The sequence below is a fragment of the Homo sapiens genome, chromosome 12, assembly GCF_000001405.40.
Source record: "Homo sapiens chromosome 12, GRCh38.p14 Primary Assembly".
NCBI classification, from domain to species: Eukaryota; Metazoa; Chordata; class Mammalia; order Primates; family Hominidae; genus Homo; species Homo sapiens.
The window spans coordinates 21,128,476-21,154,095 of record NC_000012.12 but is presented as its reverse complement, the minus strand read 5'-3'; the positions used below and the strand labels follow the sequence as shown (position 1 = coordinate 21,154,095).

Sequence of the window (25,620 nt, the reverse complement as noted above, 5' to 3'; positions counted from 1 at the left end):
AAAGGGGAAAATCACCATAATAATGTAAGATAGTAAAAGCAAGTCTAACTATATCAATAGATACAATAAACATAAGTGTAGAAAATTGCTAGTTTAAAGATAGATAATTTTTAGTTTGGATTTTTCTTCAAAATTTACCTCTGTGCTTTTTATAAGAGATATTCCTAAATCACGAAGAAATTCTTCGTGATAGTAAAATGATAAGAAAATATAACCACTTAGAGAAAATTTTATAGGTGTATAAATAATAGCCCAAATAGACATAGAAACATCATTAAGGATAGAGAAGTCCTCCATATATTGAATTATATCATCCTAAAAGATAAAACGGTTATATAATAATGCACTTAGTAGATGCAAAATATATAAGCAAAAATCAATACAACTGCTTTTGTAAGAAAAAAATTCAACATCTTTCTTTCAATTATGATAAGTGAAATAGTTAAAATATTAGCAAGGACATAGAAGATCTGAATAACACAATTAACAAGACTGACCTCTCAGACACATATAAAATTATACATCCAACAATTGAAAGAATATGGAATATGCATTTTTATTAAGTACATCAGGGAGACTTACAAACATCAATGATGTACTAGGACATAGAGAAGTCTCAACTAATTTCAAAAATTAGTTGTCATAGCTTCCACAATGCAATTATGACAAATATTACTGGCAAAAAATTTATTACGAAAAATCTCCAAATATTTGAAGAAAATGTTATTTTAAAATAACTTGTATATTAATCAAGCAATCACAATGAATTCTTAAGTAAAATGTAGAACTGTAAGACATGAGATAAGAAAATACAATAAAAAATATATGCTGGTATTTCTGGTTTCTAGGCTCTGGAAACCTTCAAGGAGCTTGGAGCTTGCCATTTTATAGTAACAACAAGAAAAACACTGAACCAATTTAAAATGCAGCAACTCTTTCTGGATCTGTAAAAGAGGTGAGGACCAATGGCAATCGACTGCCTTCAAGATTGGAGAGACAAATAGGTGATTACAAAGTGTCACAGCTTATAGCAGTAGAGACTCATGAACAGAAACTGCACAGGAACCAGTGACAAGGTAGAAATACCTTCACTATAATTGATAAACTGCTAGAGTCTCACTCAGTGTGGTTAAGTCTGAGCACTAAACACTCCAAGGGAACCCAGTCGGTGACCTCCACATTTTGAGTTTTCCCTCCAGGAGCTTGACCAGGTTCTTATAGTAAATGTTGGAGAAAAATTATCTTGTTCTTTCAGTAGCATGAGGAGACAAGACTCATTTTTGAAATAGACTAGAGCCCTCTGTTTTTAATAGGACTTTTAGTGCTTGCCCTTAGGCAGAACTAGTTTATCAGAGCCTCATAAGATGGTGTGTTATTAGAGCCTAACTGACCGAAGGGAAAGGAAATACCCAGCTCCAGCCAATTCTAGTCTTCCATGTGACAGAAGGAAAATACCAAAATCCATCTCACTCTACCAAACCCATTCTGACCAAGAAGGAAAAAAAATACTAAAAAAACACTTGTGAAGGTTACAGTCCAGAGGCAAAAAAAAAAAAAAAAAAGCCTCTCCTCTCCCACACCTTAGCAACAATTATTGAAGGCCTATGTATAGCAGGTTTTACAAAACTCAATACATTATGTCTGGATATCCAGAATATATTACCAGTCATCTAAAAGAAAAAAAATATATATAATTTTGAAGAGACAGAGCAAGAATCAGAACCAAACTCAGATACAGAAAGGATGTTGGATTTATTGGACTGAGAATTTAAAACAACTGTGATTAATATGCTAAGTGTTCTAGTGGTAAAATAAAGAAGCACACAAGAACAGAGCAATGTAAGCAGACAGATAAAAATTTCATTAAAAAAATTATAATGTCACAACATCGTAGCAGAAATGAAGAATGCCTTTGGTAAACACATCAGTATACTGCACAAGACTGAAAACAGGATATCTGAGATTCAGGATATATGAATTAAAATCTGCAAAACTAAAAAGCAAATAAAAATAACAAAGACAAAAAAATCAGAACAAAGTATCAAAAAACTGTGGGCCAACTAAAAAAGGTATAGCATATACATAATGGAATCACTAGAAGGAGAAATAGAGACTAAAGAAATATTTGAAACAATAACAACCGAGAATTTCCCCAAATTAGTATCAGACAACAAACCACAGATCCTGGAAGTCCATAGAATAACAAGTTGTATAAATGCCCAAAAAGTTACACCTAGTCATGTCATTTTAAAACTATAGAAAATCACAGACAAAGGAAAAAAATCCCAAAAGAATACAGAGGAAAAAATACCTTCCCCATACCCTGTGTATTTATCCATCTAACATGAAGGAGAAATAAAACTTCCTCTGAGAAATGAAACTGAAAGAAATGTTTTGCCTTTAGATCAGCCTTGCAAGGTGTTAAAAGGAGTTCTTTACAGAAAGATAAAATAATATAAATCAGAAACTCAGATCTACTTAAAGCAAGGAAAACATTGGAGGAGAAATAAGTGAGCATAAAATATAAATTATTACTTTTCTTATTCTTAATCTAAGACATAACTGTTTTTAAAATAATATCTATAATGTATTTGATTATGTATGCTGACACAAAATTGAAATGAATGACAATAATGATACAAGAAATGGAAGGAAAGTATTATAAATAATTTGCTATTATCAGGTACTCATACTACCCATGAAGTGGTATGACGTCACGTGAAAGTGGACTTGAATTATTTGTAAATTTATCTTGCAAACACCCAGGCAACCCAACCGCTATGGTAGATACTAATCTAACTACAGTCACACATGTCATAATGACATTTAAGTCAATGTTGGAGAGCATATACAATGATGGTCCCATAAGATTATAATACCATATTTTTACTTTATCTTTTCTGTGCTCAGATATGTTTAGATACACCAATATCACTGTGTTGTAATTAGTATTTAGTAAACTACAATAATGTACAGGTTTTGGTAGCATCAAAGTAATAGCCTATACCATAAGCTTAGGTGTGTAGTAGGCTATAATATCTAGGTTTATGTATGTACACGCTAAGATGTTTGCACAATGACAAAATTATCTAACAATGCATTTCTCATAATGCATTCCTGTTGTTAAATGACACATGACTATATATCAGTAATCACTTTTAACGCAAATGATCTAAATGTATTAATTAAAAGATTGAAATTGACACAGTAGATCAAGTAACAAGAACCAACTATATGTTGTCTACATGAAACCCACTTTAAATATATAAACACATATAGATTAAAAGTAAACATGATCCTTTGGAGGAGATGAGGCATTCTGGGTTTTGGAATTTTCAGCCTTTTTGCACTTGTTTTTCCTCATCTTCGTGGATTTATCTACCTTTGGTCTTTGATGTTGGTGCCTTTCAGATGGGGTTTTTGTGTGGACATCCTTTTTGTTGATGTTGATGCTATTCCTTTCTGTTTGTAGGTTTTTCTTCTAACAGTCAGGCCCCTCAGCTGCAGGTCTGCTGGAGTTTGCTGGAGGTCCACTCCAGACCCTGTTTGCCTAGGTATCACCAGCAGTGGCTGCAGAACAGCAGAGATTGCGGCCTGTTCCTTCCTCTGGAAGCTTCATTCCAGAGGGGCACCCACCAGATGCCAGCCAGAACTCTCCTGCATGAGGTGTCTGTTGAACCCTGCTGTGAGGTGTCTCCCAGTCAGGAGGCACGGGAGTCAGGGACCCACTTAAGGAGGCAGTCTGTCCCTTAGCAGAGCTTGAGAATGGTGCTAGGAGATCCACTGCCCTCTTCAGAGCCAGCAGGCAGGATAGTTTAAGTCTGCTGAAGCTGCGCCCACAGCTGCCCCTTCTCCCAGGTGCTCTGTCCCAGATAGAGGGAATTTTATATATAAGCCCGTGACTGGGGCTGCTGCCTTTCTTTAAGAGATGCCCTGCCCAGAGAGGAGGAATCTAGAGAGGCAGTCTGGCTACAGGGGCTTTGTGGAGCTGCGGTGGGCTCCACCCAGTTCCTAGTGGCTTTGTTTGCATTGTGAGGGAAAAGCACCTACTCAAGCCTCAGTAATGGCAGACACCCCTCCCCCTACCAAGCTCGAGCATCCCGGGTTGACTTCAGACTGCTCGGCTGGCAAGGAGAATTTCAAGCCAGTGGATCTCAGCTTGCTGGGCTCTATGGGGGTGGGATCCACTGAGCTAGACCACTTGGTTCCCTAGCTTCAGCCCCTTTTCCAGGGGAGTGAAGGGTTCTGTCTTGCTGGTGTCCCAGGCACCACTGGGGTTTAAAAAGAAAATCCTGCAGCTATCTCAGTGTCTGCCCAAACAGCCACCCAGTTTTGTGCTTGCAACCCAGGGCCCTGGTGGTGTAGGCACCCGAGGGAATCTCCTGGTCTGCCAGTGGCAAAGACTGGGAAAAGCATAGTATCTGGACCAGAATGCACTTTTCCTCAGGGCACAGTCCCTCGTGGCTTCCCTTGGCTAGGGGAGGAAGTTTCCTGACAACTTGCACTTCCCAGGTTAGGTGACACCCTACCCTGCTTCGGCTTGCCCCCTGTTGGCTGCACCCACTGTCTAACCAGTCTCAAAGAGATGAGCTGGGTACCTCAGTTGGAAATGCAGAAATCACCCACCTTCTGCGTTGATCTTTTTGGGAGCTGCACACTGGAGCTGTGCTAAAATCTCTCAATAAACTAGGTATTGATGGAATATATCTCAAAATAATAAGAGCTATCTATAACAAACCCACAGCCAATATCATACTGAATGGGTGAAAGCTGGAAGCATTCCCTTTGAAAACCGGCACAAGACAAGGATGCCCTCTCTCACCACTCCTATTCAACATAGTATTGGAAGTTCTGGCCAGGGCAATCAGGCAAGAGAAATAAATAAAAGATACTCAAATAAGAAGAGAGGAAGTCAAATTGTCTTTGTTTGCAGATGATATGATTGTATATTTAGAAAACCCCATTGTCTCAGCCCAAAATCTCCTTAAGCTGATAAGCAACTTCAGCAAAGTCTCAGGATACAAAATCAATGTGTAAAAATCACAAGCATTCCTATACACCAATAATAGACAAACAGAGAGCCAAATCATGAGTGAACTTCCATTCACAATTGCTACAATGAGAATAAAATACCTAGGAATACAACTTACAAGGGGTGTGAGGGACCTCTTCAACGAGAACTACAAACCACTGCTCAATGAAATAAGAGAGGACACAAATAAATGGAAAAACATTCTATGCTCATGGATAGGAAGAATCAATATTGTAAAAATGGCCATACTGCCCAAAGTAATTTATAGATTCAATGCTATCCCCATCAAGCTACCATTGACTTTCATCACAGAATTGGAAAAAACTACTTTAAATTTCATATGGAACCAAAAAAAAAAAAAAAAAAAAGCCCATATAGCCAAGACAATCCTAAGCAAAAAGAACAAAGCTGGAGGCATCATGCTTCCTGACTTTAAATGATACTACAAGCCTCCAGTAACCAACACAGCATGGTACTTTTACCAAAACAGATATATAGACCAATGGAACAGAACAGAGACCTCAGAAATAATGCCACATATCTACAACCATCCGATCTTTGACAAGTCTGACCAAAAAAAGCAATGGAAAAAGGATTCCCTTCTTAATATATATGATGTTGGGAAAACTGGCTAGCCATATGCAGAAAATTGAAACTGGACCCCTTTCTTACACCTTATTCAAAAATTAACTCAAGATGGATTAAAGACTTAAATGTAAGACCTAACACCATAAAAACCCTAGAACAAAACCTAGGCAATACCATTCAGGACATAGGCATGGACAAATACTTCATGACTAAAACACAAAAAGCAATGGCAACAAAAACCCAGATTGACAAATGGGATCTAATTAAACTAAAAAGCTCCTGCATAGCAAAAGAAACTATCATCAGAGTGAACAGGCAACCTACAGAATGGGAGAAAATTTTTACAATCTATCCATCTGACAAAGAGCTAATATCCAGAATCTACAAGGAACTTAAACAAATTTACAAGAAAGAAACAAACAATGCCATCAAAAAGTGGGCCAAGGATATGAACAGACACTTCTCAAAATAAGACATTTATGTGGCCAACAAACATATTAAAAAAGCTCATCATCACTGGTCATTAGAGAATGCAAATCAAAACTGCAATGAGATACTATCTCACGCCAGTTGGAAGCGATCATTAAAAAGTCAGGAAACAACAGATGCTGGAGAGGATGTGGAGAAATAGGAATGCTTTTACCCTGTTGGTGGGAGTGTAAATTAATTCAACCATTGTTGAATGTATCCATAGGATTATAAATCATTCTACTATAAAGACACATGCACATGTATGTTTATTGCAGCACTATTCACAATAGCAAAGACTTGGAACCAACCCAAATGCCCATCAATAATTGAATGGATAAATAAAATGTGGCACATATACACCATGGAATACTATGCAGCCAAAAGAAAGAATGAGTTTATGTCCTTTGCAGGGACATGGATGAAGCTGGAAACCATCATTCTCAGTAAACTAACATAGGAGCAGAAATCCAAACACTGCATGTTCCCACTCATAAGTGGGAGTTGAACAATGAGAACACATGGACACAGGGAGGGGAACATTACACACCAGCACCTGTTGGGGGTTGGGGGGCTAGGGAGTAGCATTAGGAGAAATTCCTAATGTAGATGACGGGTTGATGGGTGCAGCAAACCACCATGGCATGTGTTTACCTATGTAACAAATGTGCACATTCTGCACATGTATCCCAGAACTTAAAGTGTAATTTTTTAAAAAAGTAAAGAAGTGGAGAAAAACATTCCATGGTAACAATAACCAAAACAAAGCAAGACAATCTAAATTAATTTTGGACACAGCAGACTCTAAAGCAAGGAAATTAACAGAGGTAAAAACGGGGCATTACAAAATGTTAAAGGGGTCAATTCTTAAGAAAACATAACACTTCTTAACATAGAGGCACCAAACAACAGAGCTGCAAACTATCTGAAGTAAAAGCCAGTAGAAATACAAGGAGAAATAAATGAATACACTATGGTATTTGGAGACTCTACATCTCTCTAGAAATGGAAAGATCCAGCAGGTAAAAACAGGAAGAACATGATTGACCTTAACAACATCATCAATTAACTGGATATAATAAACATCTATATGTTATTTCATCCAACAACAACAGAATACACATTCTTCTTAAGCTTACATGGAATATTCACCAATATATACCACAGCCTAAGCCATAAAACACACCTTAACACATTTAAACTAATAATGTCTTCTCTTAGATGACAATGAAATTAAGCTAGAATATAACAGAAAGATAACTGGAAAAATACCAAAATATGTGGAGATTAACTACCACACTTTTAAGTAACTTATGAGTCAAAAGAAATCTGAAGAAAAATTTTAAAACATCTTGAAAAAAATAAAATTAAACATACAAGTGATCAAAATTTGTGAAAGGTAGCAAAATCAAGACTTAGAGATTTATTGCACTGAATGCATATGTTAGAAAACAAGAAAATGCTAAAATCAATATCTAAGTTTCCACCTTGGGAAAATCAAAAAGAAAAGCAAATTAAATTTTAAGTAAGCACAAGAAAAAATAGAATAAAAATTGGACCTGAAATCAATTAAATCATAAACAGGAAATCAATAGAGGAAATTGACAAAACCACAAGTTAATTCTTTAGAAAGATTAATAAAATTGACCCAGCCAGGTTACCTAAGAAGATGAGGGAAGGCACAAATTACTAATAACAGAAATAAAGGCGGGGACATAACTACAGATCCAATATACATGAAAAGGATAATAAAGAAATACTATAAGCAACACTCTGCCTACAACTATGATAACCTATATAAAATAGACCAATATATTGAAAGACACGATCTACCCAATTTTGTACAAGAATAAATAGACAATATTAAAAGGACTATTTCTGTTTAAGAAATTGAACTGATTTTAATAACTTTCCAAAACAGAAAGAAACAGGCCTACATGGTTTCACTGTTGAATTCTACCAAATACCTAAGAATTAATTTATATCAATTCTCTACAGTTTTTTTCAGAGGTTAGAAGCAGAAAAAAATACTTCCTATCTCATTTATTGAGGCCAACATTAACCTAATACCAAGACCACACAAAGATATTACAAGTAAGTCCTTAAACTGATAAAATATATTTCAAAAATAAATGTACTAAAACTTGGAAATAGGCAAATGTAACCAGCACCACTTGCATTCAGCAATGGATTTCACAAAATATAATATTTATAAGAATCAAGGAGCACAGACAAATACTAAAACAAAGTACCATTTTATGCCTACTTAAATTGCAAAAATCTAGAAGTCACATAATTCCAAATATTGGAGTGAATGTATTCTCAAATTTTCATTTATGTATTACTCGTGATCAAGTAAATTAATGTAGTCACTTTAAAAAGAAACAGCTTCCAGATGTGATGGCTCATACCTGTAATTCCAGCACTTTAGGAGGCCAAGGCGGGCTGATTGCTTGAGCCTAGGAATTTAAGACCAGCCTGGCAACAAGGTAAGACCTCATCTCTACTAAAAAAAAAAAAAAAAAAAAAAAAAATGAAAAAAATGCTGGGTGAAGTGGCATGTGCCTGTAGTTCCAGCTACTCAGGAGGTGGGAGAATCACTTGAGCCTGGGAGGTGGAGTTTGCAGTGAGCCAAGATTATGCCACTGCACTCCAGCCTGGGTGACAGAGGCCCTGTCTCAAAAAAAGTGCAGCAACTATAATGCTACTATGTTGGAACTTTCCAATTTATTGAGTTTCTATGTAACACTGTGCTAAGCACCTTATAAATATCCTGACAACTCTGAGATAAATATTATTTCAATTTATTCATTTTCTATCTTATGGATGTCATGATACATGAGTCATGAAGACAACAAAACGGTTGGGTCTTGCTTCTTTATCCAACTTGCTATTCTATGCCTTTTAAGTGTAGGCATTTAACCCATTTACATTCAAGATTAATACTGATATGTGAGGATTTGATTCTGTCATAGTGTTGTTAGCTGGTTATTATGTTGGCTTGATTGCATAATTGCTTTATAATGTCTGTGGGCTCTGTAGTTAAGTCTATTTTTGTGGTGACAGGTATCATTCTTTCATTTCCATGTTTAGGACTCCCTTAAGCATCTCTGGTAAGGCAGGTCTAATGGTAACAAATTCTGTTAGCATTTGCTTGACCGAAAATAATATTTTTTCTTTACTTATGAAGCTTAGTTTGGCAGAATATAAAATTCTTAGTTGCAATTTCTTTTCTTTAAGGATGGTGAAAATAGGTCCCCAATCTCTTCTAGCTTGTAAGCTTTCTGCTGAAAGATCTATTGTTAGACTGATGGGGCTCCTTTTGTAAGTGACCTGCCCCTTCTCTCTAGCTGCCTTTAAGGTTTTTTTCTTTCTTGTTTACCTTGGAGAATCTGATGATTATGTGTCTTGTGGATGACCATCTTGTATAGTATCTTGAAGGGATTCTTTGAATTTTTTGAACTTGCATATCCACCTCTCTAGCAAGACTGGGAAATTTTTCATGGACTTTATCCTCAAAGACATTTTCCAAGTTGCTTACTCTTTCTCCTCTTTCAGGAATGCCAATGAGTCACAGGCTTGGTCTCTTTACATAATCCCATATTTCTCAGAGGTTTTTTTCATTAATATTTTTCCTTTAATTTTGTCTGCTTGTGTTGATTCAAAGGGGTAATCTTCAAACTCTGAGATTCTTTCTTAAGCTTGGTCTATTTTGTTGTTAATTACTATAATTGTATTATGAAATTCCTGTAGTAAAATATTTAATTTCAGAAGTTAATTTTGGTTCTTTCTTAAAATGACTATGTCATCTTTAAACTCTTGAATTGTTTTCCTGTTTTCTTTGGATTGCATTTAAATCTTCCCCTGTATCTTGTTGGGTTTAAATTTGAAGAGAAGAAATGACAAGTGTAATGATGAAACATATACTAGCAGGTTCTATGTAATGTAGTTAGTTCAGTACAAAAATTGAGGAGAAGGGGTAGAAAAGAATTCAAGTATTTGATTTCTCAAAGTTTTGTTTGTATTTCCACGGATATATTATCAATTTGCACTTATATATTGCCACCTGCTGTGTCTGTATATGTAAGTCAGTAACAACATGTATATTTGGGTGTGTGCATGCATGTTAGCAAGTGTTAGAATCCACAGTTGCTTGACACTCAATAATTTAACCTTAAGATAATTTTTTAGAAGTATGGAATGAGGAAAGTTATTAAAGACACCACTTATAAAAGCCTGCTTGCCATAACATCTTGAGGGTACTAATATTACAAAAATCCACATTTATTTTAGCAATATGGAATACAGTTGAGAGCATAGGATTTGGAATCAGATTGCCTGAGTTCAGACCTTCAGTGTACCAATTACCAACTTTGAGACCTAGGAGAAGACATTTGCCCTGTCTATATCTAGGTTTTTTCATCTGAAAAGGGGAGATAATACCATCCAGTTGATAGAATTATGGTAAGGAAAAAATCTGTTAGCAAAAGTAAAACACTAAATCAATGTCTGGCATATAGTAAATGCTTGATAAATGTTAGCTACTATTATTAAGGTTTCTCTCATCTTTTTTTATGCTCCTGAATTACATTTGTTTTACTATTGTTTTCATTATCTTTCTATCTACAGAGATATCTCTAAATCATAATATTTCAAATACAGAAAATTAAGAAATTAGATGATAAAATGTAATTTAATGAAAGTAAAAGTCAATATATTTTCAGCAACTTTTGTTAATACTTTGAAGTCCCAAACTTCATAAAAAATTAAAATACCCTTTATTTAAAAAATTTTCTCCCATTATGTTTTCATTTCTCATGAATAAAAAGTAAGCTCAGAAATGCAACAAACCTCAACTACAGGCACGCAAGTCTTTACAGAATTATTGTAAAATGATTGTTGAGTTTAATATTCTTTATCAACAACATATCAATGTTAACAATTTAAGTGAGTGAAAATATTATTTTAAATATCACTTGTAGACATGATTAACCAATTTAGCGATGTTTCTGAAATACCAGCATTAGGGATGCCAGTCTTATCCCAGTATCTTCCTCTAGCTCTAGTCTTCTTTATTGGGCTGCAGTTAATGTCCTTTCCACACACTGCTAATTCCCTAACTCCCAGCTTCTCCAGATATGCTATAAGGGATCACTCTGGAAATTTTATTGCTTCAGGCAGTTTGCTGCCATTTTGCTATGCACATGTCAGTGAAATTACTGTAACACTCAGTATTTAAAAATAAAAACAATTCAGTACATTATATTATCCTTAGAATATAGAACATAATTCACTTGCATTAACCAATACTTTTTCCTTATGACTGCCACTTGGCCTAAATGTTACTCAAATATTTCATCAGAGAAGGCTTTATCAGTAATCTCAGAAAACAAACAAATTTTATGTTCCCTGGAAGGAGCTAAAAGGAACCTTTTATAACATTATTGTAATTGACTCCAATCTTGGTGGCCTTTATTCAGCTGTATAAGACTACAAATTTGACTAAATAAAAAAGTTAAAACATTGATAAAAGGTGACCCTTATTTCTTGATTTCCTCAAGACTTCCATATGGGGATTTAAAGGCTTTGTCTTGGGTTCCAGGGTTTTCAATTCACAATGTAGATGACTTCAGGAAAATTTCTTAACTTTTCTGAGTCTTGGCTTCTCATTTAGCATTGTGCTTAGGAGTACTCATTCCTGTTTATAAAAATGCCAGCATCACTTAATACCTCAACTGTATCATTTAATACAGTTTGTGCCAAAAGCAAAAAGCAGAATTATTACTTTTACCAGCTGGCAAATGAAAACATTAAATGGCTTTTCTAAATCGTCAAACAGGTCTTTTGGCCAAGTTTTTGACTATCATAGACCTCCGTTCCATGAGCCTAAATTACTTATCAGAACTTTTTTAAATCCTGTTTTTTGTTTTTTTTTTTAAAAGAATTTTTAAATAAGTCAGTATCACAAAGTGAGTCTCAAGACATTAATATTCTAAGTTTATAAGTCAATTCTAAGAATTTTAAAATATTATTCATTATGCATTTTTTATTTTAATCACATTCCTAAATATGTCGTGATCAATCCAAAACCAAAGAGAAGCTATCAAAATATTTCTAAATTTTCTACATTGATAAACTATTAAGCATCAAAAATTTCGCCAAAGAAATACTTAATCAGATTAAAAGACTGGTTTAAATCAAGGTATGAATCATTATGTTAATATTTCAATATATGCTTCAATTGAAAATTATAATTTGAAACATAATGTTCTTTTTAACAACTTGCTTTTCTATACATTAAAGTTCCCTATTTACTTATTTTAGCTCAAAAACATAAAACTTATTCTACCTTCAATCCATTGCAGTATCTTGTTTTCTTATTCTCTGAAGGTTGTGCCTCTGCTGTTTTATTCAAATGTTGATTTTGGTCCATGATTGAAATATAGATATCATACAAATGTTTTTGTTGTTGATGCTCAGTTTGAAACAATCACCTATTAAGGAAGAAAAAGTATAGTTTATTTTATTTTTACAATATATAATTTAGAAATAAGAAAAGCCACAAGATCATCATCAATCAATCAACCATTCACTAACATTCACTCAGGGTCTACTATGTCGTTACCACTCTGCTAGGTCAATGCTGGAAACAAAAGTAGGAAAGACAGACACAAATTCTAGCCTAAGGAGATTACAATTTAATAGAAAAATAAATTTGTGGAGAGAAATTTGAAACAAGTAAGTAATATAGAATCACACACCAGATTACATGAACATTTTAAATTATAGAAATTTAAATTATTATCTTTTCTACACACCTATATTGTAAAATTTATAAAAGCAAATATATGTTTTCTTTATCCTTCTAGTTTTAAAATGTGCCTATTAGCCCCTTGCACAGAGTAGATATTCAAAACAGATACAAAAATAATATAAAGAATTAAATTAGAATGGCCTCAGTTTTATAAAGGAGACACCACTGGAATCAGGCTCAAAAAGCAAACAGAATTTGGATTTGTTAAAAAGAGCAAAGTGTACTCCAAGTACTTCTCAGAGCAACTCTGGTATTGCTTGACCTTACCACCATCATGATGTTACTTTATTTTGATTTTGTTCATTTCTTTTCCAAGAGAAAATGCATATAGTTGAAAATGCAAATTAAAAAAATAAAACAAAGATTCTTCCTCTAACTCTTGTCCCATTATCCAGAAATATAATATGGATTTTTCATTAAGTACATAATATTTTCCTTTTCAATGCAAATGGTAGCATACCTTAAACATCATTCTCTACCTTTTTATCTTCTCTATATACTTAATCTTAATAAGTCTTTCTCATTTTTCTTATGGTAGCAGGGTATTAAGTTGTCCATAATATATGCAACTGGTTCTATATTCATCAGCTTTTAGGTTGTATCTAATCATTTCATATTAAAGATGTTCTTAATATATCATATGCCATTTTGGTTTTATGTGGCCATATCTGCAGAATAAATTCAACAACTAAAGTTTTGGAGTCAATGTATGAGAGAAATTGTTATTTTGAGAGTCATTAAAGTCCTACTTTAAAGACTAGTAAAATGAGTTAACTTTTTACTTCAACTGACTCTTTTATATAGAATATAATGTGTTCTTCATGGAGTTTTAGAAATACATTCTTGCTCCTATGTATGTAAACAATACATATTTATGTATCTAAGATATCTATATAAGCAGACACAGCATAGATACATGATTTTTAATAGGGCAGTAATTATACAATATGTCTAATATATATTATATGTACAGTTGATACTTGTTGCAGTAGTTATGTTTTATAAAGTTGCTGGGAACACTGAATTAGCAAATATTGAACCATTGTTCCTTGGAGAGATGTGGGGTTAGTTATATGCCTGTCTGCCTCTGGTCACAATATTTTGGTAAATTGTTCAATATAGAACTGTGTTTTATGTATGTTTTGTTTAAAGACACTTTATTTAATACATACTATTGATTCATTAACATTGAATTAGTTGTCAACAACACTGTAGTTCAGGCCTGGAGGAAGCTTATACAGCATATGTATCTTTTCCCTCAGATACTCTTGTGCACCGGAGAGCACTTCAGCACTATCTTTGGGGCCCATTCGAAACATTCAACTCAGAAACACAAAACACAAAAATGCCAAAAATGTGGCAATAAATACAGTGTGAAAAGGATATTTCTTTATCATATGTGAGCAGAAACAAGAAGACAGAGCTTCATTTTGTTCAACCTTAGTTGGGAACATGGCAGCTCAAATTTTTCACCACTTTGCACATGCATGTGAATGCCCATGAAAGTCCAGCAGTATTGATTTTGGTGTTACAAAGGAATTTTAGTGAATAGACAAATTTTCTTATATAGAATCTGTGAATAATGAGACTCGACTCTATATTTTATTCACTAATTTATTCAACAAGGGCTGATGGATTCTGAATAATATAAATATATATAATACATATTTAAGGGATAGTGCATAAATGTGGAAGTAACAAACAGGATATTATCACTTACATATATGTGAGTATATATCAACATATGGTTGAATACAGAAACCCATACATGTGTACCTCTAAGTGAACTCCAATTATTACATTTTGTGTGTGTACATGTTTTATGCATGCCTGTACCTAGATATGTCGGGTTTCTGGGTTCAGTGAGGTAAGAAAAAAGTCAATGGCTGTTTAGTCTCAAGGTAATAAGCTGCCCTTTGATTAATTTCACCCCATTTTTTCCATGAATATCTGTTTCTATCTCTTTCTTCATAATTTAAATATTAGGAAATCTTTTTTTAAAAAAATTATATAATAGCAAATATCTCTGTATGACTTGCAAGGTGGATAGTCTTCCTTTAGTTTTAGGCTTCGATTTTCTTTCTACTAACAAATATTCTTGATGTCTTGAAGGCTATTGTCCCACCACTCCAAACCTGGTTTATTTCAATTGATTAACTTCTGTTTGTCCTGTCTCCCACCTTTCTTTCTATCCTATGCATATCATATTTATCCTAAGAATCTTTCAAAGATCCCTTTAACGACACAAAATAAAATTCACAGTTTCTATTTGATGGTCTTCACAACCTAAACCAAGCCCCTGTTTTTAGAACCATTCTCAATATACCCATAGCACCTGCAGACACATGAAACCACAGTCCCAAGAAGAAAGCTTTCTGCCCTCTTGTATGTTTCTTTCAATCCTGAATGTCATTCTCCATTCTTGGTTGTAATGCTGATCCAAATTGTACCTCTTCAATATTTTTATACTTACCACCTGTTGATAATATCTCCCATCCTGCTGTACCAGTGGAGAATATACCTGAAGTCATTACTTTTCTTTGTATTTCCCCTACTTCCCCAGAAAAATACTATTTCACATCTCTCTCCTAGATCTTCAGATAAAATATTCAGGAAAAAAAGGTGGACACTTTGTTCCTCATTTCACCAAAATGTTAAATAAGTTACTACAAAGTAACTAGAAAGTTGGAATATTAATTTATGCTTGACTAAATGCCACACTTTCTAATTCACCTTGACATTTAACATATTTTTCTCTGAACATATTTTTTTCTTAAATTTCAAATGATTTACATAAATGAATTTTGAGGACACCATTTGTTTATAAGATAGAACCATAGGCATTTGGATTTAGCATTGCAATTCTTCCCGGAAGAGGTCAGTTCTTCCAAATTTGATAGGAGTGGGGTGCAGGACAGAATCTTATCAGCCTCTACTTATCTGTGTCAAGCTTTTAATACTTAATAGGTTATAGAAAACCGGTTTAGGCAAAGTGACCCAATTTCTACCATGTACTTATGCAACTGAGGAGCAAAAAGGAAAAACAGCATTTGCTAACTTCTTAGACCTTTTATAGGAGAGACAATCCCCCATCTCCACCTCACTTTCACAATAAAAACAATTGTCTTATCAAGGCAGACAACTTTCTGAATTGGAGAAGGGAACTAATATTTATTGAGGCCTTAGTTCATGCTAAAAACTGTGCTGAGGGGAGGAGCCAAGATGGCCAAATAGGAACAGCTCTGGTCTACAGCTCCCAGCATGAGCAACACAGAAGACTGGTGATTTCTGCATTTCCAACTGAGGTACCGGGTTCATCTCACTGGGGAGTGCCAGACAGTAGGTGCAGGACAGTGGGTGAAGCGCACCGTGCGCAAGCCAAAGCAGGGCGAGGCATTGCCTCACCCGGGAAGCACAAGGGGTCAGGGAATTCCCTTTCCTAGTCAGAGAAAGGGGTGACAGACGGCACCTGGAAAATTGGGTCACTCCCACCCTAATACTGTGCTTTTCCAACCGGCTTAAAAAACAGCACACCAGGAGATTATATCCTGCACCTGGCTTGGAGGGTCCTATGCCCACAGAGTCTCGCTCATTGCAAGCACAGCCATCCAAGATCAAACTGCAAGGTGGCAGCGAGGCTGGGGGAGGGGCGGCCACCATTGCTGAGTTAGTTGTTTGATTAGGTAAACAAAGCGGCTGGGAAGCTCGAACTGGGTGGAGCCCACCACAGCTCAAGGACACCTGCCTGCCTCTGTAGGCTCCATCTCTGGGGGCAGGGCACAGACAAACAAAAAGACAGCAGTAACCTCTGCAGACTTAAATGTCCCTCTCTGACAGCTTTGAAGAGAGCAGTGGTTCTCCCAGCACGCAGCTTGAGATCTGAGAACAGGCAGACTGCCTCCTCAAGTGGGTCCCTGACCCCCGAGTAGCCTAACTGGGAGGCACCCCCCAGTAGGGGCGGACTGACACCTCACACGGTCGGGTACTCCTCTGAGACAAAACTTCCAGAGGAACGATCAGGCAGCAGCATTTGTGGTTCACCAATATCCGCTCTTCTACAGCCACTGAGGCTGAAACCCAGGCAAACAGGGTCTGCAGTGGACCTCTAGCAAACTCTAACAGACCTGCAGCTGAGGGTCCTGTCTGTTAGAAGGAAAACTAACAAACAGAAAGGACATCCGCACCAAAAACCCATCTGTACGTCACCATCATCAAAGACCAAAGATAGATGAAACCACAAAGATGAGAAAAAAACAGAGCAGAAAAACTGGAAACTCTAAAGATCAGAGCGCCTCTCCTCCTCCAAAGGAATGCAGCTCCTCACCAGCAACGGAACAAAGCTGGATGGAGAATGACTTTGACAAGTTGAGAGAAGAAGGCTTCAGATGATCAAACTACTCTGAGCTACAGGTGGAAATTCAAACCAATGGCAAAGAAGTTAAAAGCTTTGAAAAAAAATCAGACAAATGGATAACTAGAATAACCAATGCAGAGAAGTTCTTAAAGGACTTGATGGAGCTGAAAACCAAGGCAAGAGAGCCACATGACAAATGCAGAAGCCTCAGTAGCTGATAGGATCAACTGGAAGAAAGGTTATCAGTGATGGAAGACGAAATGAATGAAATGAAGTGAGAAGAGAAGTTTAGAGAAAAAAGAATAAAAAGAAACGAACAAAGCCTCCAAGAAATATGGGACTATGTGAAAAGACCAAATCTACGTCTGATTGGTGTACCTGAAAGTGATGGGGAGAAGGGAACCAAGTTGGAAAACACTCTGCAGGATATTATCCAGGAGAACTTCCCCAATCTAGCAAGGCAGGCCAACGTTCAGATTCAGGAAATACAGAGTACGCCACAAAGATACTCCTCGAGAAGAGCAACTCCAAGACACATAATTGTCAGATTCACCAAAGTTGAAATGAAGGAAAAAATATTAAGGGCAGCCAGAGAGAAAGGTTGGGTTACCCACAAAGGGAAGCCCATCAGACTAACAGCTGATCTCTCGGCAGAAACTCTACAAGCCAGAAGAGAGTGGGGACCAATATTCAACATTCTTAAAGAAAAGAATTTTCAACCCAGAATTTCATATCCAGCCAAACGAAGCTTCATAAGTGAAGGAGAAACAAAATCCTTCACAGACAAGCAAATGCTGATTTTGTCACCACCAGGCCTGCCCTAAAAGAGCTCCTGAAGGAAGCACTAAACATGGAAAGGAACAACTGGTACCAGCCACTGCAAAAACATGCCAAATTGTAAAGACCATCAAGGCTAGGAAGAAACTGCATCAACTAATGAGCAAAATAACCAGCTAACATCACAATGACAGGATCAAATTCACACATAACAATATTAACTTTAAATGTAAATGGGCTAAATGCTGCAATTAAAAGACACAGACTGGCAAATTGGATAAAGAGTCAAGACCAATCAGTGCACTGTAGTCAGGAAATCCATCTCACATGCAGAGACACACATAGGCTCAAAATAAAGGGATGGAGGAAGATCTACCAAGCAAATGGAAAACAAAAAAAGGCAGGGGTTGCAATCCTAGTCTCTGATAAAACAGACTTTATACCAACAAAGATCAAAAGAGACAAAGAAGGCCATTACCTAATGGTAAAGGGATCAATTCAACAAGAAGCGCTAACTATCCTAAATATATATGCACCCAATACAGGAGCACCCAGATTCATAAAGCAAGTCCTTAGTGACCTACAAAGAGACTTAGAATTCCACTCAATAATAATGGGAGACTTTAACACCCCACTGTCAACATTAGACAGATCAATGAGACAGAAAGTTAACAAGGATACCCAGGAATTGAACTCAGCTCTGCACCAAGCGGACCTAATAGACATCTACAGAACTCTCCACCCCAAATCAACAGAATATACATTCTTTTCAGCACCACACCACACCTACTCTGAAATTGACCACATAGTTGGAAGTAAAGCTCTCCTCAGCAAATGGAAAAGAACAGAAATTATAACAAACTGTTTCTCAGACCACAGCGCAATCAAACTAGAACTCAGGATTAAGAAACTCACTCAAAACTGCTCAACTGCATGGAAACTGAACAATCTGCTACTGAATGACTACTGGGTACATAATGAAATGAAGGCATAAATAAAGATGTTCTTTGAAACCAATGAGAACAAACACACAACATACGAGAATCTCTGGGACACATTTAAAGCAGTGTGTAGAGGGAAATTTATAGCACTAAATGCCCACAAGAGAAAGCAGGAAAGATCCAAAATTGACACCCCAACATCACAATTAAAAGAACTAGAAAAGCAAGAGCAAACACATTCAAAAGCTAGCAGAAGGCAAGAAATAACTACCATCAGAGCAGAACTGAAGGAAATAGAGACACAAAAAACCCTTCAAAAAATTAATGAATCCAGGAGCTGGTTTTTTGAAAGCATCAACAAAATTGATAGACCACTAGCAAGACTAATAAAGAAGAAAACAGAGAAGAATCAAATAGATGCAATAAAAAATGATAAAGAGGATATAACCACCGATCCCACAGAAATACAAACTACCATCAGAGAATACTATAAACACCTCTAGGCAAATAAACTAGAAAATCTAGCAGAAATGGATAAATTCCTTGACACATACATCCTCCCAAGACTAAACCAGGAAGAAGTTGCATCTCTGAATAGACCAATAACAGGCTCTGAAATTGAGGCAATACTCAATAGCTTACCAACAAAAAAAAGTCCAGGACCAGATGGATTCACAGCCGAATTCTACCAGAGGTACAAGGAGGAACTGGTACCAATACTTCTGAAACTATTCCAATCAATAGAAAAAGAGGGAATCCTCCCTAACTCATTTTATGAGGCCAGCATCATCCTGATACCAAAGCCTGGCAGAGAAACAACAAAAAAAGAGAATTTTAGACCAATATCCTTGATGAACATTGATGCAAAAATCCTCAATAAAATACTGGCAAACCAAATCCAACAGCACATCAAAAAGCTTATCCAACATGACCAAGTGGGATTCATCCCTGGGATGCAAGGCTGGTTCAACATACGCAAATCAATAAATGTAATCCAGCATATAAACAGAACCAAAGACAAAAACTACATGATCATCTCAATAGATGCAGAAAAGGCCTTTGACAAAATTCAACAACCCTTCATGCTAAAAACTCTCAATAAATTAGGTATTGATGGGATGTATCTCAAAATAATAAGAGCTATCTATGACAAACCTGCAGCCAATATGATACTGAATGGGCAAAAACTGGAAGCATTCCCTTTGAAAACGGGCACAAGACAGGGATGCCCTCTCTCACTGCTCCTATTCAACATAATGTTGGAAGTTCTGGCCAGGGCAATCAGGCAGGAGAAGAAAATAAAGGGTATTCAATTAGGAAAAGAGGAAGTCAAATTGTCCCTGTTTGCAGATCACATGATTGTATATCTAGAAAACCCCATCATCTCAGCCCAAAATTTCCTCAAGTTGATAAGCAACTTCAGCAAAGTCTCAGAATACAAAATCAATGTATAAAAATCACAAGCATTCTTATACACCAATAACAGACAAACAGAGAGCCAAATCATGAGTGAACTCCCATTCACAATTGCTTCAAAGAGAATAAAATACCTAGGAATCCAACTTACAAGGGATGTGAAGGACCTCTTCAAGGAGAACTACAAACCACTGCTCAATGAAATAAAAGAGGATACGAACAAATAGAAGAACATTCCATGCTCATGGGCAGGAAGAATCAATATCATGAAAATGGCCATACTGTCCAAGGTAATTTATAGATTCAATGCCATCCCCATCAAGCTACCAATGACTTTCTTCACAGAATTGGAAAAAACTACTTTAAAGTTCATATGGAACCAAAAAAGAGCCCGCATACCAAGTCAATCCTAAGCGAAAAGAACAAAGCTGGAGGCATCACCCTACCTGACTTCAAACTATACTACAAGGCTACAGTAACCAAAACAGCATGGTACTGGTACCAAAACAGAGATATAGACCAATGGAACAGAACAGAGCCCTCAGAAATAGTGCCGCATATCTACAACTATCTGATCTTTGACAAACCTGAGAAAAACAAGCAATGGGGAAAGGATTCCCTATTTAATAAATGATGCTGGGAAAACTGGCAAGCCATATGTAGAAAGCTGAAACTGGATCCCTTCCTTACACCTTACACAAAAATTAATTCAAGATGGATTAAAGACTTAAATGTTAGACCTAAAACCATAAAAACCCTAGAAGAAAACCTAGGCAATACCATTCAGGACATAGGCATGGGCAAGGACTTCATGTCTAAAACACCAAAAGCAATGGCAACAAAAGCCAAAAATGACAAATGAGATATAATTAAACTAAAGAGCTTCTGCACAGCAAAAGAAACTACCATCAGAGTGAACAGGCAACCTACAGAATGGGAGAAAATTTTTGCAACCTACTCATCTGACAAAAGGCTAATACCCAAAATCTACAATGAACTCAAACAAATTTACAAAAGACAAACGACCCCATCAAGAAGTGGGTGAAGGACATGAACAGACACTTCTCAACAGAAGACATTTATGCAGCCAAAAAACACGTGAAAAAATGCTCATCATCACTGGCCATCAGAGAAATGCAAATCAAAACCACAATGAGATACTATCTCACACCAGTTAGAATAGCGATCATTAAAAAGTCAGGAAACAACAGGTGCTGGAGAGGATGTGGAGAAATAGGAACACTTTTACACTGTTGGTGGGACTGTAAACTAGTTCAACCATTGTGGAAGACAGTGTGGCGATTCCTCAGGGATCTAGAACTGGAAATACCATTTGACCCAGCCATCCCATAAGTGGATATATACCCAAGGGATTATAAATCATGCTGCTATAAAGACACATGCACACGTATGTTTATAGCGGCACTATTCACAGTAGCAAAGACTTGGAACCAACCTAAATGTCCAACAACGATAGAGTGGATTAAGAAAATGTGGCACACATACACCATGGAATACTATGCAGCCATAAAAATGATGAGTTTATGTCCTTTGTAGGGACATGGATGAAACTGGAAACCATCATTCTCAACAAACTATCGCAAGGACAAAAAACCAAACACCGCATGTTCTCACTCATAGGTGGGAACTGAACAATGAGAACACATGGACACAGGAAAGGGAACATCACACACCGGGGACTGTTGTGGGGTGGGGGAGAGGGGAGGGATAGCATTAGGAGATATGCCCAATGTTAAATGATGAGTTAATGGGTGCAGCACACCAACATGGCACATGTATACATATGTAACAAACCTGCATGTTGTGCACATGTACCCTAAAACTTAAAGTATAATAATAATGAAATAAAAAAAGAAAAAAACTGTACTGAGAAGACTTTTTGCTTATTTAATTGGAGATAAATTATCTAGAAAATATATTTCCCTTCACCCTGTATCAAACTTGAGTTGAAACAAGGAAACTGAGGTGGTTATGTGACTTTGAGACACCTGTTTTTTATGTTTGCCAATTAACTCTTCCCTCTACTCCCACCCTTGGCTGCCTTCATCCAGTTAAGAAGACATCAAAGAAATAAGGAGTCTAGTGTGATCAGTCAATGTAGTTGACAAAAATAATTATCCTGTAGCATATTTTAAGAAGGTAACTAGAGCTTCATTTTTGAGACTTGATTTTTATTTGTTTGGAAATTAATAAGACCAAGATTTGAAACTTTATATTTAAATATATAAAGGTATTATTTTCTCTACTTTATTTTTAACAGTATATAAACCTGAGGCTCTTCTACTCCCAGAAGGAATATTTACTATGTTTTAAGGGCTCAGAATGTAAGCGTGTGGAAGACACAGAGCATAAAATTCGTAATATTTTTCAAGACCATCAAAATCTTCTTCCGTGAAAATTTCTTACATAAAATATATGTAAAAATTAGAGAATCTCAATGGTTCTTACCTGGATTTAGAATCCTACAGCAACTGCAACAAGTCCACCCTTTATTCCTCTTAAAGTAGTTGGCTTTTTGAAAACAAGTCCAGTGATGATTAACCACCTTATTATGTCATTGCTCTAGTCAAACATATAAAACCTAGTTAGTTTTAAGAGTTCACTCCAGTTGCCAATATTTAAAGATTATATTTCTCAGAATTCTCACATTATTTTTTGTTAATCTTAACAAGTAAACCTTACTTTTGGGAATGGCTTTTACTTGTTTATTCAATTAAGTTGGTGGCATAAGATTTTTTTCTTTAAAAATATGAGTACAATAAATTATTCCAGGTATTTAAAACTTCCAAATAGGAAATAATTTAAGACAAATAAAAAATATGCCTACAGGTTACATTGGCATTTAAAAATTAAAATATACCCTCTTTGCTTGGTACATAAGTATGGTTCTAACGTGGTATGTATGGAGACTGGAGATACCACCTGGAATAAGAGAGTCCCAATTAACTGCAAGACCATTTTTCTGAATGATGAAAATTAAGACTGCTTTATGCGATAGATTCTTTACATCAAAACAGGAAAGAATTATTAATATCACAGTTTCCTTTTATTGACTTGACTTGTGGAGAAAGGAAGAGCTTAACTCAGTTAAAAGTTTTCTTGAGTAGAGATGAAGTTTAATTAATTCAATAACTCAAACATTTTAGACTCTCAATTATACCTTGGACATTAAGCTCTCTTCTGAAATAAAGTACAGACCCTTCTCTCACATAAATATATATATTTCAGAAAAGTGTGAAGATATATGTATGTATATACACACAAACATACATGTATACATATATACACACTTTTACCTGTATACACATATGCACATATATATATGTGGTAATGTGAGGATGCATATATGAGAATATGGTTACCCCTTATCATTCATGGGACATTTGTTGATATGGTTGCAGCAAAATGTATTTGATGTCTGTGCCACAGTTATCTGATTGATTAGTTCTATTCTTGGTTAATTATTGAGAGTATTGGAATCATGAGACAAACTAAAGAGTAGTGTAGAGGGGAAGAATGACTGTGCAGAACTGAGAAATGTAGACCCAAGGCCAAAATATTAGAGTAAGGCTTCCAAATACTCTGCTGAGTAAGAATCTACTGGCGAGTTGTCAAAATAGCAATCCAGTCCCATACCCAGCAGATTCTGGCTCAGGAGACCAAAGATTATGCCTGTTAAATAAGCACTTTGAAAAATTTTCATGTACTGCCAGATTTTGATATCATAACAGGAATGCAGAACATTTTCCATCATTTTTATGGACTTCCTTTTATTCACAATGGGAATACAGTTTGGGTTTTCTCAGGCTAATGGTTTTCTCCTCAGACATCCATTTCATTGAAAACACATCAACATGTTTGGAGACTAATATATATATTATATACAATGAAGATAAAACAGTACAAACTAACTAACAACCTTTATAATCCTGAGCTAAAGGTGCCAGTTGTAAAATTCTCCAATATTTTCAGAGGTCAAAGAGCATTCTCTGTGCCCCTTTTCTCTTCCTAATTGTGTAAATAATTAGACTGCTCATTTTGTGGGATCATGGAAAAACAAGAGTACACCAGGGGAAAGATGTTGCAAAACATCTTTCAAGATCAATATTATGCTAACAGCCACGCATCAGTTAGATGACAAAAATTGATTTAAAGAATCAGCTGATATTTTTTTCAGGAACGGCTATCACAGCTCTGATGAAATATCATGGCCTTTGAAGTCTGAAAGACTTAAATGCCGATATGTCTCTGCTACCTGCCAGCAGTATAAACATCAGTAGGTTATTTACCATTTCTGAGCATCAGTGCACTCATCTATAAAGTAAGAAGTCTATATTTGGAATAAAGATTTAGTGTATGTAAAGTGCCTTACATAATGCCTGGCACATTATAGATTCAACACCTAATTAGATTAATTGTATGATATTTGCATATTATAAATTTTAGAGCAGTTAATTTATATTAAATGAATACAAATAAAATCTCTGAGATCTGTATCCTGTAGATCTGTAAAACCTATGTCCAATAGGTTTTAGCCCCAGAGTTCTCAGGTGTGTACCACAGGCACACCTCAAGAGGGAACCGTCAGGCTCCAAGCAGATCCGCCCTTACCCGAACATTTCACTTCTGTTGGTGCTGATTAAGAGACAGCTCCAGAAAGCTACACTCTCCTGGAAAGAACTCCTATTCTACATATTATTCTCCAAACATGTTTCTATACCCACCAATGATCAAAGCTCTGGCATCATCAAGACTAATATTACCATGGCAATTATCGCTCTTATGGTAGTGACCACCATAAGAAGGTAGGGATTCCCTGATGACTCATCACCTCTTCTCTAATCCCCACAGGGCTCTGCACATTCCTATGTTTGCCCCCATCTTCTCTCTTTCTCCCAATCCTGGACTGAAATTCTTCTCTTGAGTTTTCTGGAACCCATCACTAGTCATGACTGAAACTCCCCTTACCTTTACCTCTTCTCTGAGTTATTCTGCTTCACTTCTGCCTTGAACTTAAAAATTGGTCTTCCCTGAGACACTCCCTCTCCTGCAGCAGTGATACATAGGGGTTGCCTTATCCCCCATATTGCTGCAAACCAGATGGGCTGGTTTCCAATGTGCCTCACTTTGCTAGTTTCTTTACATTTCCCCACCCTTTACACTCATAATCCATAGTTTTGGATCTCATATTGAAAGACTCTATCACTTA

At 36.1% G+C, this 25,620-nt stretch overlaps 1 protein-coding gene across 1 annotated transcript in view; it reads right to left on the bottom strand.

The window, feature by feature from the left end:
- SLCO1B1 (solute carrier organic anion transporter family member 1B1) overlaps positions 1–22,902 on the bottom strand; it is a 108,603-nt gene extending 85,701 nt beyond the window's left edge. The window contains exons 1-2 of the mRNA NM_006446.5: positions 22,860–22,902; positions 12,438–12,582 (exon numbers count right to left, since the gene is read on the bottom strand). Coding sequence (NP_006437.3) covers positions 12,438–12,521 — 84 coding nt within the window. The 5' untranslated portion in view covers positions 12,522–12,582; positions 22,860–22,902. The remainder of the gene's footprint in view (positions 1–12,437; positions 12,583–22,859) is intronic.